The 16,129-nt window shown below is 51.4% G+C and overlaps 2 protein-coding genes across 4 annotated transcripts in view, besides 1 other annotated feature; one reads left to right on the forward strand and one right to left on the reverse strand.

The window, feature by feature from the left end:
• On the forward strand, positions 1–11,479 carry PLK1 (polo like kinase 1). Its single transcript, NM_005030.6, has 10 exons — positions 1–452; positions 1,196–1,364; positions 2,026–2,170; positions 3,176–3,269; positions 4,982–5,201; positions 8,581–8,736; positions 9,780–9,857; positions 10,350–10,504; positions 10,606–10,788; positions 10,972–11,479. Exons 1-10 carry the CDS (start codon positions 45–47, stop codon positions 11,173–11,175), a joined length of 1,812 nt encoding a protein of 603 aa, NP_005021.2. The 5' UTR covers positions 1–44; the 3' UTR covers positions 11,176–11,479.
• Positions 8,100–8,601: an enhancer, noted in NCBI's record as "H3K4me1 hESC enhancer chr16:23698309-23698810 (GRCh37/hg19 assembly coordinates)". NCBI's record gives its function as "activates a minimal SCP1, AML or CMV promoter by ChIP-STARR-seq in naive H9 embryonic stem cells {active_cell/tissue: H9 hESC(naive)}" and the evidence as "EXISTENCE:reporter gene assay evidence [ECO:0000049][PMID:30033119]".
• Positions 11,422–16,129, reverse strand: part of ERN2 (endoplasmic reticulum to nucleus signaling 2) — a 22,913-nt gene continuing 18,205 nt past the window's right edge. For all 3 annotated transcript variants that reach the window (NM_001308220.2, NM_033266.4, XM_047433506.1), the window contains 6 exons: positions 15,840–16,039; positions 13,296–13,443; positions 13,075–13,202; positions 12,414–12,537; positions 12,241–12,308; positions 11,422–12,155 (listed from right to left, as the gene is read on the reverse strand). In NM_001308220.2, the coding sequence (NP_001295149.2) occupies positions 11,943–12,155; positions 12,241–12,308; positions 12,414–12,537; positions 13,075–13,202; positions 13,296–13,443; positions 15,840–16,039 (881 nt within the window). In that variant the 3' untranslated portion in view covers positions 11,422–11,942. The remainder of the gene's footprint in view (positions 12,156–12,240; positions 12,309–12,413; positions 12,538–13,074; positions 13,203–13,295; positions 13,444–15,839; positions 16,040–16,129) is intronic.

Raw genomic sequence — 16,129 nt, forward strand, 5'->3', positions numbered from 1 at the left:
GGAGGCTCTGCTCGGATCGAGGTCTGCAGCGCAGCTTCGGGAGCATGAGTGCTGCAGTGACTGCAGGGAAGCTGGCACGGGCACCGGCCGACCCTGGGAAAGCCGGGGTCCCCGGAGTTGCAGCTCCCGGAGCTCCGGCGGCGGCTCCACCGGCGAAAGAGATCCCGGAGGTCCTAGTGGACCCACGCAGCCGGCGGCGCTATGTGCGGGGCCGCTTTTTGGGCAAGGGCGGCTTTGCCAAGTGCTTCGAGATCTCGGACGCGGACACCAAGGAGGTGTTCGCGGGCAAGATTGTGCCTAAGTCTCTGCTGCTCAAGCCGCACCAGAGGGAGAAGATGTCCATGGAAATATCCATTCACCGCAGCCTCGCCCACCAGCACGTCGTAGGATTCCACGGCTTTTTCGAGGACAACGACTTCGTGTTCGTGGTGTTGGAGCTCTGCCGCCGGAGGGTGAGTGTCGCTGCTGGGGAACTGGAACTGCCTGCGGGGCAGTTGGAGCGCCCAGACCTGGAGCTGCTGGAAAGAGTACCCAGCAAGGGAGAGCCTGGGACTTGGAGCTGCTAGAGAAGGGTGCTGGGAGCCTCCCGCTTACGTATGGAAAGTGTCTTTGGTAAGGGCTTCTTGGCTCTGGGAGCTGCTAGAGGAGGGGGTTCCAGTGAAGTGGAGTCTGAGTCATGTTGCTGATAGGGAAGTCAGCTTCTGGACGCGAGGTGCTGGGGGGAGGGGTGCTGGTAATGGACGCTAGGGCCCTGGAGTACCCAGGGAGGAGTCCCAGGTTAGTGATGCCGCGCCCTGGGAGCTTCTGGGGTGGAGCTGGGTCAGTGGGGGGGTAGTTGGAGCCAGACTTCGGGCCTTCCGGGGGAGATACGAGTCAGGAAAGGGATCTGGTGCTGGGGACTCGGAGCTTCCGGAGTGGGGCTGAGAGAGGACCCCCAGGTAAGGGGGGAAGCTAGTAGGAGAAGGGGTGCTGCGAATGGTTGTGGACAGTGTTAAGGCAGGGTCCAGATGCCGCTGTGCTGGAGAAGGAATGGGGTGGGGGCATAGGGAAGGAGAGAAACCCACCAAGACCCCTCTTTCATCCCTTGGGAGTCCAGAGTCCAGTCCTGTGCTTCCTTTGCCTGGTAACCCTCTCCCTTCCCCACCGGCCTCAATCCACCTCCCCATCCCTCCTGCCCTCTCCTTCCCACCCACAGTCTCTCCTGGAGCTGCACAAGAGGAGGAAAGCCCTGACTGAGCCTGAGGCCCGATACTACCTACGGCAAATTGTGCTTGGCTGCCAGTACCTGCACCGAAACCGAGTTATTCATCGAGACCTCAAGCTGGGCAACCTTTTCCTGAATGAAGATCTGGAGGTGAAAATAGGTGAGTTGCTGAGCCTGCAGGGGTGCTTGACATCACTACAAGAGGCTGGAATTTGGAGGAGGCTGGGAGAAAGGAAGGAGACAACCCACAAGTCAGTATCTTGCCTACAGATGCATTATTTTTTTGTGCCCCAATGCAATATTTTTTTTTTACAAAGAATTTGAATTTGTTTTTATTTTTTAAATTGGAAGGTTTGATTGAACAAAAAGTTTGATTCAGAACTCCTTTTAAACAGGTGAAAGCTTCAGTAATACGAGGACAGCATTTTCTTAGGGCAGCCCTTTGCTGGGCTGGAAAACAGCTGTCCCCTTCAGACTTCTTTGCCACAGTCTCTACTCCTCCCTATTCTTCACAGACTTGCCAAGTCTTGGAGGTTAACTTGCTTGATCCTTGAAGGCATTGGAGTTTTACTATCCCTGTCAGTTCCTGTTTCAAAGCATAGCCCCTTTCTAAAAGGAGGGGTGAGAAGTGTCACTGGAGGCACCTCCCTGGTGTCAGCATGGGAGGAAGATTCCTGGGCAAGCCTTGCTACATACAAGGAGCAGAGGCTTGTGGGATCAGATGGCCCTGGTTCTGGATGGTCAAACCTTAACTAGCCTTCTGCATTGACAGATGTCAGAGGCTGGCATCTAAGTACCAACTCTTCCTCCCTCTGTCCCAGGGGATTTTGGACTGGCAACCAAAGTCGAATATGACGGGGAGAGGAAGAAGACCCTGTGTGGGACTCCTAATTACATAGCTCCCGAGGTGCTGAGCAAGAAAGGGCACAGTTTCGAGGTGGATGTGTGGTCCATTGGGTGTATCATGTAAGTTGGGAGTTGTCTCTGGACCAACCTGGTCTCAGCAGGGGCAACTTTGGGACATCCTACCTGGCTGACCTTTTCTGTGGACCTTTCGGCCTGCTTTACAGAAAGCCTACTCCAAGGGACAAGTCATCCCCAAACAAAGCCTAATTGTCATATCTTTCCCTGTCACTGGTGTATCCTGTCGGATTTCTGCAGCCTAGGTCATGGGTACAGCGGAGGAGGAGGAGGGAGAGTCTCCACAACCTTACTGTAGTCCTTTGCTAGAGTTGTCCACAGGGCAGCATCACCATCATCTGGGAACTTGTATACACAATCTCAGGACCCAGACTACTTACTGGATCAGAATCTGGATTTTTAACAAGGTCCCTTGGTGATTCCCTTGCACAATAAGGTCTTAAACACCGATGAGCATTAGCATGGTGGGGGAAATTAGGCCAGGAGTTACAGATGGAAAGATGATGTGCCAGTGGTCTGTCTGGATTAAGACCATCAGCAGCGGTTGGTGGCAGGCAGAGGCTTGGGCCTTTTCAGGTGTTATCTTTCTTGTTTTGGGCCTAGGTACTGGAGAGTTAGAAATGAGTTGTAGCAATGGCTTTCATACGTCTTTGCAGTGGGGTTTTTTCAAATGAAAACTTGAAGACTTAAGTACAGAACTGCTAAAGGTGGAGCTGCTTCTGTAAGCGCAGGTAGCCCTTTGACCTGTTTTGCATGACAGGCAGCATCTGAGGCCCTTGCACAGAGTCCTAGATGACCACAGGCTATAGCTAAAAAATCACTGGCCCTTAAGAATCCTGGTCTCACCATGTGTATTCTGCTGAGGGCTTATTCTAGCCAATGTCATGGCTTCTGGGGCTGCTCAGTGGACTTAGGGATTGTCTTCAGGGGCCCCAGAGTTAGAGTGAGTGTCCAGAGGATGCCTGACCTTTGTTCTGACCCTGAGATGATTTCTCTCATGTCTGGGTTGTGGCTGGGAGACTGGTGCCAAATCCTACCTTGTGCTTACAGGTATACCTTGTTAGTGGGCAAACCACCTTTTGAGACTTCTTGCCTAAAAGAGACCTACCTCCGGATCAAGAAGAATGAATACAGTATTCCCAAGGTGACTAATGATGCTTTAAGTTTACATTTATTTTGTTTTCCCCAGAAGCTGTTTATGGAGCCCAGCAATATCCTAGGACCAGAAATAGGTCTATCCCACCTCTAAGGTAGCCACAGAGCTTGAGAGGGCCTGTGTCTGAAATTGCATACAGAACTTGACATGTATGTGCACATAAGCATTTTTTCTAGGGGGAGAGAGTTGGCAGATTCTCAAGAGATTGGGTAACCCAAAAGTTGTGTAAAAAGCAAAAAACAAAGGAGGTAGGAAGGAGTAGGAGGCAAAAGTGCTTAATCTTTAGAAATGGTTTATCTTAATTCAAATGGATTCTGCCACTTAGCGAGATCACATTGGGCAAATGGCCTGCATCTTTTTTTTTTTTTTTTTTATTTGAGGTGGAGTTTTGCTCTTGTTGCCCAGTGCAGTGGCATGATCTTGACTCACTGCAACCTCCACCTCCCAGGTTCAAGCGATTCTCCTGCCTCAGCCTCCCAAGTAGCTGGGATTACAGGCACCCACCACCTCGCCTGGCTTTTTTTTTTTTTTTTTGTATTTTTAGTAGAGACGGGGTTTCACCATGTTGGCCAGGCTGGTCTCGAACTCCTGACCTCAGGTGATCCACCCGCCTTGGCCTCCCAAAGTGCTGGGATTACAGGCGTGAGCCACCATACCCAGCCTGGCCTGCATCTTCTGAACCATAGTTTCCATATATAAAGTGGAGTTCCTGCCTTGGAGCACCTCACAGAGTGCCTTGCATGTGGTGAGTGCTCTCAGAATTATGAATCACTGTGAATCCCAGGGCTTCCTAATGGCATAGTTGTGTGCATTTTCTTTTTTTTTTTTTTTTTTTTTTTGAGATGGAGTCTCGCTCTGTCGCCCAGGCTGGAATGCAGTGGTACAATCTCGGCTCACTGCAAGCTCTGCCTCCCAGGTTCATGGCATTCTCCCGCCTCAGCCTCCTGAGTAGCTGGAACTACAGGCACCAGCCACCATGCCCGGCTTCTTTTTTCTGTATTTGTGGTAGAGACAGGGTTTGACCGTGTTAGCCAGGATGGTCTCGATCTCCTGACCTTGTGATCCACCTGCTTCGGACTCCCTAAGTGCTGAGATTACAGGCGTGAGCCACCGCGCCCGGCCATGGTGTGCATTTTCACAACCACCAACAGAAATACATTTAAAGGAATAGCTGGTTCCTGCAGAAGCCTAGCACACAGCCAGTTTGAAGTGTAGTGTCCTTGTGTGAAGCCAGGAGGCCTGTCACCATAAGGACAGACATAGTAAATCCATCACAAAGTGTCAGTTCACTGTCAGAGACAGCATGGAATCAAGCCAGCTAGACAAGGCCTTCACCCTCTCTGTGCCTCACTTTCCTCCTCTGTGAAAAAGGGATGATAATAGATCCCCACCCCTTAGATGAGTTGGTGAGGGCTAAGTGAGCTAAACACAGGAGTGCTTAGAATGCTTTCCTGGCACATAGTGAGTGCTAGGAAAGTGAGTTGGTGTTCGGCCACAGTCCATTGACCCTTCTGTCAATGGTGCTCAGTAAAGCTGACAGTGGAGAACTTGGCATTGAACCAAGTTGTGAACCACTGACCTGTGGTGTATTTGAGACTGGGGGCTGCATGTGGGCTGGGGACCTGCAGCTCCTTTGAGGCCGTACTGTACTCCAGGTCCCCTTCACATTCTGCTTATGGCTGTCCCTCTCTCTGCCCCAGCACATCAACCCCGTGGCCGCCTCCCTCATCCAGAAGATGCTTCAGACAGATCCCACTGCCCGCCCAACCATTAACGAGCTGCTTAATGACGAGTTCTTTACTTCTGGCTATATCCCTGCCCGTCTCCCCATCACCTGCCTGACCATTCCACCAAGGTTTTCGATTGCTCCCAGCAGCCTGGACCCCAGCAACCGGAAGCCCCTCACAGTCCTCAATAAAGGTACAACAAGGGTCTGGGTAAGAGAGCAGACCCCCCAGAGAAAGCCCAGGTTGTAGGGGTGTGTGCAGCTTAGTCCCTGGCCCTGAGAGCTCAGGTGTGGAGTAGGACAGGCCTCTGTCCTTCAATCCGTGGTTCCAATGCCCATCTGCTTCTCGGCCCTGCCAGGAAAGACTGACCTTACCATGGCTGGATAAACGTACCATGCCCAAGAAGAAGAAAATGGATTGAATGCCAAGCCTGAAAAATTCTTTCAAATCACTTTAATTAATTTAATTTTTTGGAGACAGGGTCTCTCCTCTATTTTCCAGGTTGGAGTGCAGAGGCACAATCACAGCTCACTGCAGCTTTCAACTCTAGGGCTCAATTGATCCTCCCATCTCAGCCTCCCAAGTAGCTGGGACTGTCAGGCATGCACCACCATGCCTGGCTGACTTTTCTAATTTTTGTAGAGACAGTGTTTTGCCATGTTGCCCAGGCTGGTCTTGGAACTCCTGGGCTCAAGCGATCCTTTCACCTCCACCAAAGTGTTGGGATGACAGGCATGAGCTGCTACATCTGGCCTTTAAAAAAATTTCTAACACTTTTTCATGATTCATTGAAAAACATAAAAATTTCCTTTTTTTTGTGGCGTGATCCCGGCTCACTGCAAGCTCTGCCTCCCGGGTTCACGCCGTTCTCCTGCCTCAGCCTCCTGAGTAGCTGGGACTACAGGCGCCCACCACCATGCCCGGCTGTTTTTTTGTATCTTTTAGTAGAGACGGGGTTTCACTGTGTTAGCCAGGATGGTCTCAATCTCCTGACCTCGTGATCCGCCTGCCTCGGCCTCCCAAAGGGCTGAGATTACAGGCGTGAACCACCAGGCCCGGCCTTTTTTTTTTTTTTTTTTTTTTTTTTTTTTTTTTTTTTTTTTGAGACAGGGTCTGGCTCTGTCTCCTAGGCTGGAGGGGAGTGGTATGATCTCGATTTCACTAAGGATACATAGTTTTAAAAAGTCACTTGAAATACTTTTTTTCTCTGTGGATATATCACCAATTTGATGTACAACTTCAGTTCATTTTTCAGTTTTCAATTTTTAGGTATTGGTTTTTCTTAAACTTCATTTTGGAATAATTTTAGGCTTATACAGAAAAGTTGCAACAACAACAAAAAACTCCCCAGAGTTCCTACATACCTTGCAGCAATTATTACAGTGGAATTTTTTTTGAGACAGGTCTCAGGACTTGCTGTCACCCAGGCTGGAATGCAGTGGCTCACTCATAGCTTACTGCAGCCCCAACATCCTGGGCTCAAACAGTCCCCCTGCCTTACCCTCCAGAGTAGCTAGGACTACAGGCATGTGCCACCATACCCAGCTAATTAAAAAATTTTTTTCTTTGGGAGGCCGAGGTGGGTGGATTGCCCGAGCTCAGGAGTTCGAGATCAGCCTGGGCAACATGGCGAAACGCTGTCTCTACTAAAAATACAAAAGACTAGCCGGGCGTGGTGGTGTGCACCTGTAATCTCAGCTACTCGGGACACTGAGGCACAAGAATCACTTGAACCTGGAAGGCGGAGGTTGCAGTGAGCCGAGGTCTCACCACTGCACTCCAGCCTGGGCAACAGAGCGAGACTCTGTCTCAAAAAAAAAAAAAAATTTTTTTTTTGTAAAGACAAGATCTCACTATGTCGACCAGGCTTATCTCAAACTCCTGCCCTCAAGTGATCCTCCTCGGCCTCCCAAAGTGTTAGGATTTACAGGTGTGAGCCACTGTGCCCTGCCTAGAATGATGTTCTAATGGTAATTTTTCTTTTCCTCACTTTTTTTGCATTTAATAATTGGAATTCTTCTGTAAGGAAGAGCTGTTCCTTCTCTCCGATTGATTTATTTATTTGGTTATGTCTGAAATAGACTCATGGATATTTTTATTCTTTGGGCTATATTTTAAAGGATTACTTATTTCTCTGCTTTTATTTATTTTTTTAAATTTGAGACAGGGTCTTGCTCTGTCTCCCGGGCTGGAGTGCAGTGGCACAGTCGTACCTCACAGTAGCTTTGATCTCCTGGGCTCAAGTGATCCTCCAGCCTCAGCCTCCCAAGTAGTTGAGACTTTAGGCATGTGCCACCGCGTCTGACCAATTTTTAAATTTTTGGTAGAGATGAGGTCTTGCCCACACTGGTCTCAAACTCCTGAGCTCAAGTGATCCTCCTGCCTCAGACTCCTACTTTTTTTCTTTCAGTTTTAATTTTTTATATAGCATTTTAAAAACTTAAGGAAATTTTCAGTTACCCGAAGGTGGAGAGAACTGTATGATGAGTCCCATGTTTCATCTATTTTTACTAGTTATCAACATTTGGACAGACTGTTTTATTTATTCCAGCCTCCTGCCTTTTTTGTTACCGGTGTTTTAAAAAATTATTATTTACTATTTATTATTATTTATTTGAGACATTCTTGCTTTGTTGCCCAGGCTGGAGTGCTGTGGCAAGATCATGGCTCACTGCAGCCTCCACCTCCTGCGTTCAAGTGACTCTCCCACCTCAGCCTCCCAAGTAGCTAGGACTACAGGTGTGCCACCATGTCCAGCTAGTTTCTGTATTTTTAGTAAAGACAGGGTTTTGCCATGTTGCTCAGGCTGGTCTCAAACTCCTGAGCTCAAACAATCTACCTGCCTCGGTCTCTCATAGTGTTGGGATTACAAGTGTGAGCCACTGGGCCTGGCCTTGCTGGAGTGTTTAAAGCAAATCCCTAATATCTTATTATTTCATACCCAAGTCCCTATCATGACATCGTTTTTTAATTGAAAACTTAAACATTTTATATTATACAAGGAGAATTAGCACATGGTGGTGGGGGAATAAATAAATAAGGAAAAAGACAATAAGAATAATCTGTGTTTCTACTGCCCAGATATAATCAGCGTTAAAATTTCATGTTATCTTTTCAAGCTTTTTTGGTTATAAATAAGCATATAAAGCAAATTTTGGGGTGGAAAAAAATTTCTTGTGTTTTTATTTAAATGCCTACTGAATCCATTCTGTGGATGAACTGAACTACTCAGCCCTTCCATCTGCCTGGATGCTGAAGATGCTTTCCATTCTTTGCTCAAAGCTGGGCAGCTCTGAGCTGCTGGTGCCTTCAAGCTGTTTGCCTGAGTGGCAGGTCATCCTGCAGGGCCACACCGTTGGGTCAGAGGCCACGGCTTCTGAAGATCTGTTGCCTCACAGTGAGCACTATGTGCCTGTCACCTGAGCATGGCAGCTGCTGCTCTAGTAACCAGGCACTGATTCAGTTTCCCCAAAGCAGTGGTAGCTAAGAGAATTTTTCTTTCGGAAGAGTTTCAGCTGTGGCAGGGGAGTCCCGTGCCCTTCCCAACGCCCCTGTTTTTGTCACCTTCCTAGGCTTGGAGAACCCCCTGCCTGAGCGTCCCCGGGAAAAAGAAGAACCAGTGGTTCGAGAGACAGGTGAGGTGGTCGACTGCCACCTCAGTGACATGCTGCAGCAGCTGCACAGTGTCAATGCCTCCAAGCCCTCGGAGCGTGGGCTGGTCAGGCAAGGTGGGTACTGCGGGGCCCTGGGCGGGGCAGGATTGCTTGGGGCATCTGGAAAAGGCAGGAGGAGGCTTGGCCAACAAAGCACTGGTGACTTGTTCAGGCCCTGTCTGCATAGGACCATTGGTTTCCCCATTTCCTGATATCCAAGGCCCTGCTTCCGTGGCTCCTGCCGCCTTTTCTGATCCGTCTTTTTTACTCTAGCACCTCGATGTGCCACCTTCATACGCTGTTTCTTTTGCTCAGTAAGTTCCTATTGTATCTTCAAGACCCTTGAAATAACAGACCCAGATGTACTGCAGCCTCAGGGCTTTCTCCCTGGTCCTGGCACGAAAGCACTTCTTCCAGACACCACATGGCTCACACTGTGGCCTCCTTCAAGTGTCTGCTCCAGTGTCAGCTCTGTGAGCATCTCCCTGGCCCCTCTGCTGGTGCTTCTCATCCTCTTGCCCACTGCATAGTTCTCCATAACACTTCTCACCCAACATAGTCCAACATGTCCTTCTTTGTTTATTGGATTTAAATTAAGGGGTTTGTTGCATGCACTGAACGTAACATTTTGATGTGTTTGCAACTGGCTTCTGTCTTCACAGTTTCTTAATTACTCCAAACTGGAAAACTAGATGCCTCTGACTCTTACCATGATAGAAGTCACTGATATTTTGCCCATACTTAAATTGATTAGTCTTTGCCCCTACAACCACAGTGTAAGCTCCGTGGAGGCTGGGGTTTTGTCTGTTGCTCACTGAACCTGCAACAGTGCCTGGCACGGTAGGCCTTCAGTAAATGGGTCAGTGGAATGAAGGAGTGAGTGGAACTTGGTGCGCTGTGCTGAGACTTTCTCTGCAGAGATATCTGTGCTGCTGCTTGTCTGAGCCTGCTGGCAGCAGAGGCCCTGCTTTGCTCTTCTCTGGGGCCCTAGGCCTCTCAACTGAGCCCAGGTGGGGTGCCCAGCAGGCTTCCCTGTTCCCTGGTGTGGGCCACATGTGTGGAGCAGAGGGGAAGAGGCTGGTCCTGACCAACTAACTGTCTGTCTGTTTCTGTCTCAGAGGAGGCTGAGGATCCTGCCTGCATCCCCATCTTCTGGGTCAGCAAGTGGGTGGACTATTCGGACAAGTACGGCCTTGGTAGGTTTCTTCCAGAACAGGTGGGTGACTCAGGCACAGCCAGGTGACCTTTTCAGTTGTTACAGACTCTGGCCTTTTTGAGCTCCCAGGTACTGTTCTCAGTGCCCTCCTCTCTCCATCCCAGGCCTCCCAGTTCCAGCTCCCAGTGCTCCCTGACTCCCCAGCTTTTTTTTTTTCCAGAGACAGGGTCCTGCTCTGTAGCCCAGGCTGGAGTGCAGTGGCACAATCATGGCTCACTGCAGCCTCAAACTCCCAGGCCCCTAAGTAGCTGTGACTACAGGCGTGCACCATTATGCTCAGCTAATTTTTAAAATATTTTGTAGAGATGGGGTCTCATTACGTTGCCCAGGCTGGTCTCAAACTCCTGGGCTCAAACAATCCTCCTCCCTCAGCCTCCCAAAGTGCTGGAATCACAGGCATGTGCCACCACGCCCGGTCCCACTCCCCACTTTCTATTCCCCCTTTCTGAGACCTCTCTCCACCGATCCCTAGGGTATCAGCTCTGTGATAACAGCGTGGGGGTGCTCTTCAATGACTCAACACGCCTCATCCTCTACAATGATGGTGACAGCCTGCAGTACATAGAGCGTGACGGCACTGAGTCCTACCTCACCGTGAGTTCCCATCCCAACTCCTTGATGAAGAAGGTGAGTGCCGTCCGGCCCATGGGGGGTGGTGTTGCAGAAGTGGGACCTGTGCTGGAGGATCAGACTCTAATTCTGGAACCCCTTACCTACTTTTCATCCAGATCACCCTCCTTAAATATTTCCGCAATTACATGAGCGAGCACTTGCTGAAGGCAGGTGCCAACATCACGCCGCGCGAAGGTGATGAGCTCGCCCGGCTGCCCTACCTACGGACCTGGTTCCGCACCCGCAGCGCCATCATCCTGCACCTCAGCAACGGCAGCGTGCAGATCAACTTCTTCCAGGTGAGCTGGAGGTCACCAGGCGCAGGAGAGAGCTGGGGTAGGCTCCGCATGCCTGGCAGTGGCCCATGTGGGTTGAATGTGGAGTGAGCGGCTCAGGTACCTATAACCTGTTGTGTCTTCCCTCTACTCCCTAACATACACTGGCCTCTGGGATCGCCAACCCCTGCTGCTCTTCTCTTGCAGGATCACACCAAGCTCATCTTGTGCCCACTGATGGCAGCCGTGACCTACATCGACGAGAAGCGGGACTTCCGCACATACCGCCTGAGTCTCCTGGAGGAGTACGGCTGCTGCAAGGAGCTGGCCAGCCGGCTCCGCTACGCCCGCACTATGGTGGACAAGCTGCTGAGCTCACGCTCGGCCAGCAACCGTCTCAAGGCCTCCTAATAGCTGCCCTCCCCTCCGGACTGGTGCCCTCCTCACTCCCACCTGCATCTGGGGCCCATACTGGTTGGCTCCCGCGGTGCCATGTCTGCAGTGTGCCCCCCAGCCCCGGTGGCTGGGCAGAGCTGCATCATCCTTGCAGGTGGGGGTTGCTGTATAAGTTATTTTTGTACATGTTCGGGTGTGGGTTCTACAGCCTTGTCCCCCTCCCCCTCAACCCCACCATATGAATTGTACAGAATATTTCTATTGAATTCGGAACTGTCCTTTCCTTGGCTTTATGCACATTAAACAGATGTGAATATTCTTTTTCTTGTATTTCCTGAGGGGTGCCAGGGCCTGGGATCCAGCGAACATCTCTGCTTCATCAGCCCCAGGCTGCCCAGCCTCTGCCAGTCTTGTGGGGGAAAGGGGGTGACAGTGTCTCTCTGTGGACCAGGCTGGAGTGCAGTGGCATGATCCTGGCTCACTGCAGCCTCGAACTCCTGGGCTCAAGTGATTCTCCCACCTCAGCCTCCCAAGCAGCTGGGACTACAGGCGTGCGCCACCATGCCTGGCTAATTTTACAAATTTTTTGTAGAAATGGGGTGTTGCCATGTTGGCCAGGCTGGTCTCGAACTCCTGAGCTCAAGTGATCCTCTCACTCAGCCTCCCAAAATGCTGGGATTACAGGTGTGAGCCACTGCACCCAGCCTGATTCTGAGGCCAGCCACAGGCTCAGCTCTTCAGTGAGCCAGCACGGAGACCATCTGTGTGGCATCCAGCCCACCTCACCTCCCTGTGGCCCCAGGGCATGGCCTCCTGGCCTCTGAGTCTGGCGGGTAGTAGGGCAGGAAGAGGCTCTCAGAGGCGCAGCTCCTCATGGCTCGGTGCGTGTGGAGGAGCAGCCGTGGGAAGCGGTTTGTGAAGTACTGGACGAAGCCATCAGGGACTTGGCCGAGTGCCTGTCGCACCTCAACTGGGAGCTCCCTGTAGTGGTGCTTCTGTGGGTAGGTAGAGCAGAGAACCCTGGCTCAGCTGCGGCCAGGCCTTCCCAAGACCCAGGCCCACCCAGGCCCCAACACATACCTTGTTCCTCACAGCACGGAGCAGGTCTCGCACTGATGTCCCCTTATAGGACCGGAACTTTCTCAGATCTGTGGACAGGGAATTCAGTGGCAAAACCGTCCCTGCTAGACTCCCCTCCACCGCCCAGGCCCACTCCCCTCCACCGCCCAGGCCCACCTGAGTATGGCCTCTACCTGTCTGCAGCGGCATGGAGATGTGCTCGTGCCAGTTGTCCCGGACCACTGCGCAGCCTCCCGCCTCCAGTGCCCTCACCAGGGGCTCCTGCTCGGACTCCTTCTCCAGCCAGTCACTGACGTCCTGGGGCCCAGAGAGCTCCTGAGCCTTGTGACCGGGGCCAGAGGCCACATAGCCAGGAGTGTGTTGTCTTACAGGAGTAGTTTAGGGTGACTGACAAGGATCATTGCCTCTGGGGGCGTGAAGCTTCTCTGTGCCACGCCTCTGTTATTTACCACCAACCTATGAGCTTGGTACTGCTGTCCCTATTCTACAGATTGAGCAAACTGCAGTTCAGAGGCATGAAGTCTCTTGCTCAAGTTCACTCAAGTGCAGTGGGCTACTGGCACAGCATGAATGATGACTCGGGTGGAAAGGAATGGGCTATATTCCCATACAAAGGGCAGCTGGGGCTGGCAAAGCTGGCAGTGAATGGACCAGAGAGTGCCAAGATGGCGGAGTTTAGGAGTCCAGGCTGGCTCCCAGTTTAGGGAAAGAGCCAGGCTCCCAGGACCAGGTAGCTCTTCCTGTTTTCCCTCAGCTAATCTAATATCCCATTTCTTATTGCCCAGGACCCAAACTTAGGACTTTTGGGGGCCATTCCCAAGCTTTCCTTCTGACCTGGAAGAACTGGAGTTGCTTGGCTCTGCTCCAAAAGAAGGGGTGGGCCAGCACCTGGGGGGCAGAGGGGCGTGGCTGCGGCAGTGGGCTCAACATGGCTCCAACCAGGTCCCGGGCAACCACCTTGTCTGGAGGATGGAAGAGGAGGAGGAGAGTCTGCTTCAGGCCTGCCTAGCGTCTTGCCCGTCCTCCCTTCTCTGCCCTGCCCAGGGCTCCCTCACCGTGGACCTCTTCCTCCAGGTGAGCCAGACAGGGAGCCCCTGTGAGGATGTTTGCCTGGCGATAAAGACTGTCTCCAAAGGGGTGGCTGCCACCAGAAAGCACGTAGTAGAACACGCAGCCTGCAGAGAAGATGTCCACAGCGCTGGTCTGGAGCCAGAGAGATGGGCATGAGAAGGAAATCTCTGCTTCCAGGAAGTCAGCCTGGCTAAATTCTCCCATGGGCTGATAGAGCTGCCAGGGGTTTGGCTCAGACTGGAACTCAAGATGCTTCCTGGGCAGCATCTCCTTGGCTCTAGATCCCTCCCCTCTACACTACTATAGGGGGCCCATGGTTTTCATCCAAAACCTTTGCCCTTACTGAGCTAGTTCAGGTTTCCAAGCTTCATTCCTGCAGGGTATAGGGTTACATAAGTGGGTGCCATACATGAGGCAATAAGGCAATCAGGAGGACTGTGGTGACCTGGCATGGGTTTTTTCTGCAGGGGCAGCTGGTCCTTAGCTTCAACCGGTTGTCACCAGGGGACTCTCCAGGGTGGCAGAGCTGATTTTGTTTTTTTTTTTGTTGGGGCTTTGCTCATGTTGCCCAGGCTAGAGTGCAGTGGCGCAACCACAGCTCACTGTAACCTCAAACTCCTGGGCTCAAGCAATCTACCTCGGCCTGAGTAGGTGGGACTACAGGCATGTGCCACCATGCCTGACCAATTTTTAAATTGTTTGTAGAGATGGGTCTTCTTATGTTACCCAGCCCGATCTTGAACTTTTGGCCTCAAGCGATTCTGATTTTTTTTTTTTTTAAAGAAAATCCAGAAATCCAAATTTTATGTGGAATTTCTCAAATGTTAAAATATTGGGCCAGGCATGTGGCTGACACCTTGTAATCCCAGCACTTTGGGAGGCCAGGAGTTCAAGACCAGCGTGGGCAACATGGTGAGACCCTGCCTCTACAAAAAAATACAAAAATTAGCTGGGTGCCATGTTGTGTGCCTGTAGTCCCAGCTACTTGGGAGGCTGAGGTGAGAGGATCCCTTGAGCCCAGGAGTTTAAGGCTGCAGTAAGCTGTGATGGTATGACTGCACTCCATGACAGAGCAAGACCCTGTCTCAAAAATATATATATATAGGGCCAAGCACAGTGGCTCATGCCTATAATCTCAGCACTTTGGGAGGCCGAGGTAGGTGAATCACCTGAGGGCTGGGAGTTCGAGACCAGCCTGGCCAACATGGCATAAACCCCATCTCTACTAAAAATACAAAAATTAACTGGGCATGGTGGCACCTGCCTATAGTCCCAGCTACTAGGGAGGCTGAGGCAGGAGAATCACTTGAACCCAGGAGGTGGAGGTTGCAGTGAGCTGAGATCATGTCACTGCACTCCAGCTTGGGCAACAAGAGCGAAACTCCATCTCAAAAAAAAAAAAATATATATATATATAGGCCACTAATTTAAATATAAACTGTATAGTCTCATGACATCATGCATTTAGTCCTTGAGCCCTGCTCACCACTTTGAGCTTTCTCTCAACTTTAGGAGTGGGGGCAGCCTTCCCTGGTGACTGTCCTTTTGTGTGATTGGCATCCATTTCTCTGGCTTCAACTTCCGCCCACACACTGTGACTCAAAATCCGTAATTCAGGGGTCCCAAACGCAAGTGTCTGTGTGGGTCAGACGCTGCTCTGTGTATCAACTAATTAGCTCATCTGATGCCCTCCAAAACCTTCGATACCAGTGGTTCTGGAACTTGGCTCCACATAAAAATGACCCAGGCAATTAGGTAAAAATCACGGGGTGTGGGGCCTGGGGTTTTGTTTGTTTGTTTGTTTTTTGTTTTTTGAGAGAAAGAGTCTCACTCTGTTGTCCAGGCTAGAGTGCAGTAGTGTGATCTTGACTCTGGAACTTCCACCTCCCAGGCTCAAGCGATCCTCCCACCTCAGCCTCCCAAGTAGCTGGGACCACAGATGCACACACCCACACCGGCTAAATTGTGTGTGCTTTTGGTAGAGACGAGGTCTCCCTAGGTTACCCAGGCTGGTCTCGAACTCCTGAGCTCAAGCAATCTGCCTGCCTCGGCCTCTCAAAGTGCTGGGATTACAGGCGTGAGCCACCGCACCCGGCAATGGGCATTCTTTTTTTAAGTTGCGCAGTGGTTGTGAAGCACAGTGAAGATTACAAACCATTTTCTAGCTCAGGGTTTCCCAACCTCAGCACAACTGGCATTTTGTTAGTTCTTTGTGTTGGGTGTTGTCCTGTCCTGTAAGACATTTAGCAGCATTTCCAGCAGATGCCAGTAGCCCCTCCCTCCCAAGTCATGGCAGTCAAAAATGTCTCCAGACATTGCCTAATGTCCCCTGGGTGGCAAAACAGTCCTGATACTGCTGTAGAAGGAGGGACAAATTATCCCTTCTTTAAGGGAAACAAGCTTGGAGGAGCAGCTCAAAGTCACACAGCAAGTGTCATGGAGTCTCCTCAGGAGGGGAACTGGGACAGGGACGGATTCCTGCAGCCTGGGGCAGCTGTGTGCCTGGAGGACTTGGTGGATAGACTCACAGGACTGTCTGGTGGCAGGAGCTGCAGAAGCTCGGGCGCCATCCAGCCTTCCGTGCCGGGGATGCCGGAGTGGAGGCTGAAGCTACAGCGGCCAGCAGGCAGCTTCTTGCAGAGGCCGAAGTCTGAGAGCACCACTCTGCCCAGGCCCTGGCTGTCAGGCCCGGTGATGAGAATATTTCCTGGCTTCAGGTCCCGGTGCACTGTGGGAGAGGGGCAGAAAGAAAGCTGGTTGCTGAGGGCGGAAGGCAGGGGCTAAGGACAGGGAGCGGGAGGCAGGGGAAGTGCGGGTA

Source organism: Homo sapiens, chromosome 16 (assembly GCF_000001405.40).
Source record: "Homo sapiens chromosome 16, GRCh38.p14 Primary Assembly".
Taxonomy (NCBI): Eukaryota; Metazoa; Chordata; class Mammalia; order Primates; family Hominidae; genus Homo; species Homo sapiens.

Excerpts from the sequence above, each read along its gene's own strand:
- PLK1 (NM_005030.6), top strand. The coding sequence starts at position 45 with ATGAGTGCTGCAGTGACTGCAGGGAAGCTGGCACGGGCACCGGCCGAC. Across the intron at positions 8,737-9,779 it reads GCGTGGGCTGGTCAGGCAAG|AGGAGGCTGAGGATCCTGCC; the intron begins GTGGGTACTGCG and ends TTTCTGTCTCAG. Across the intron at positions 9,858-10,349 it reads TTCGGACAAGTACGGCCTTG|GGTATCAGCTCTGTGATAAC; the intron begins GTAGGTTTCTTC and ends ACCGATCCCTAG.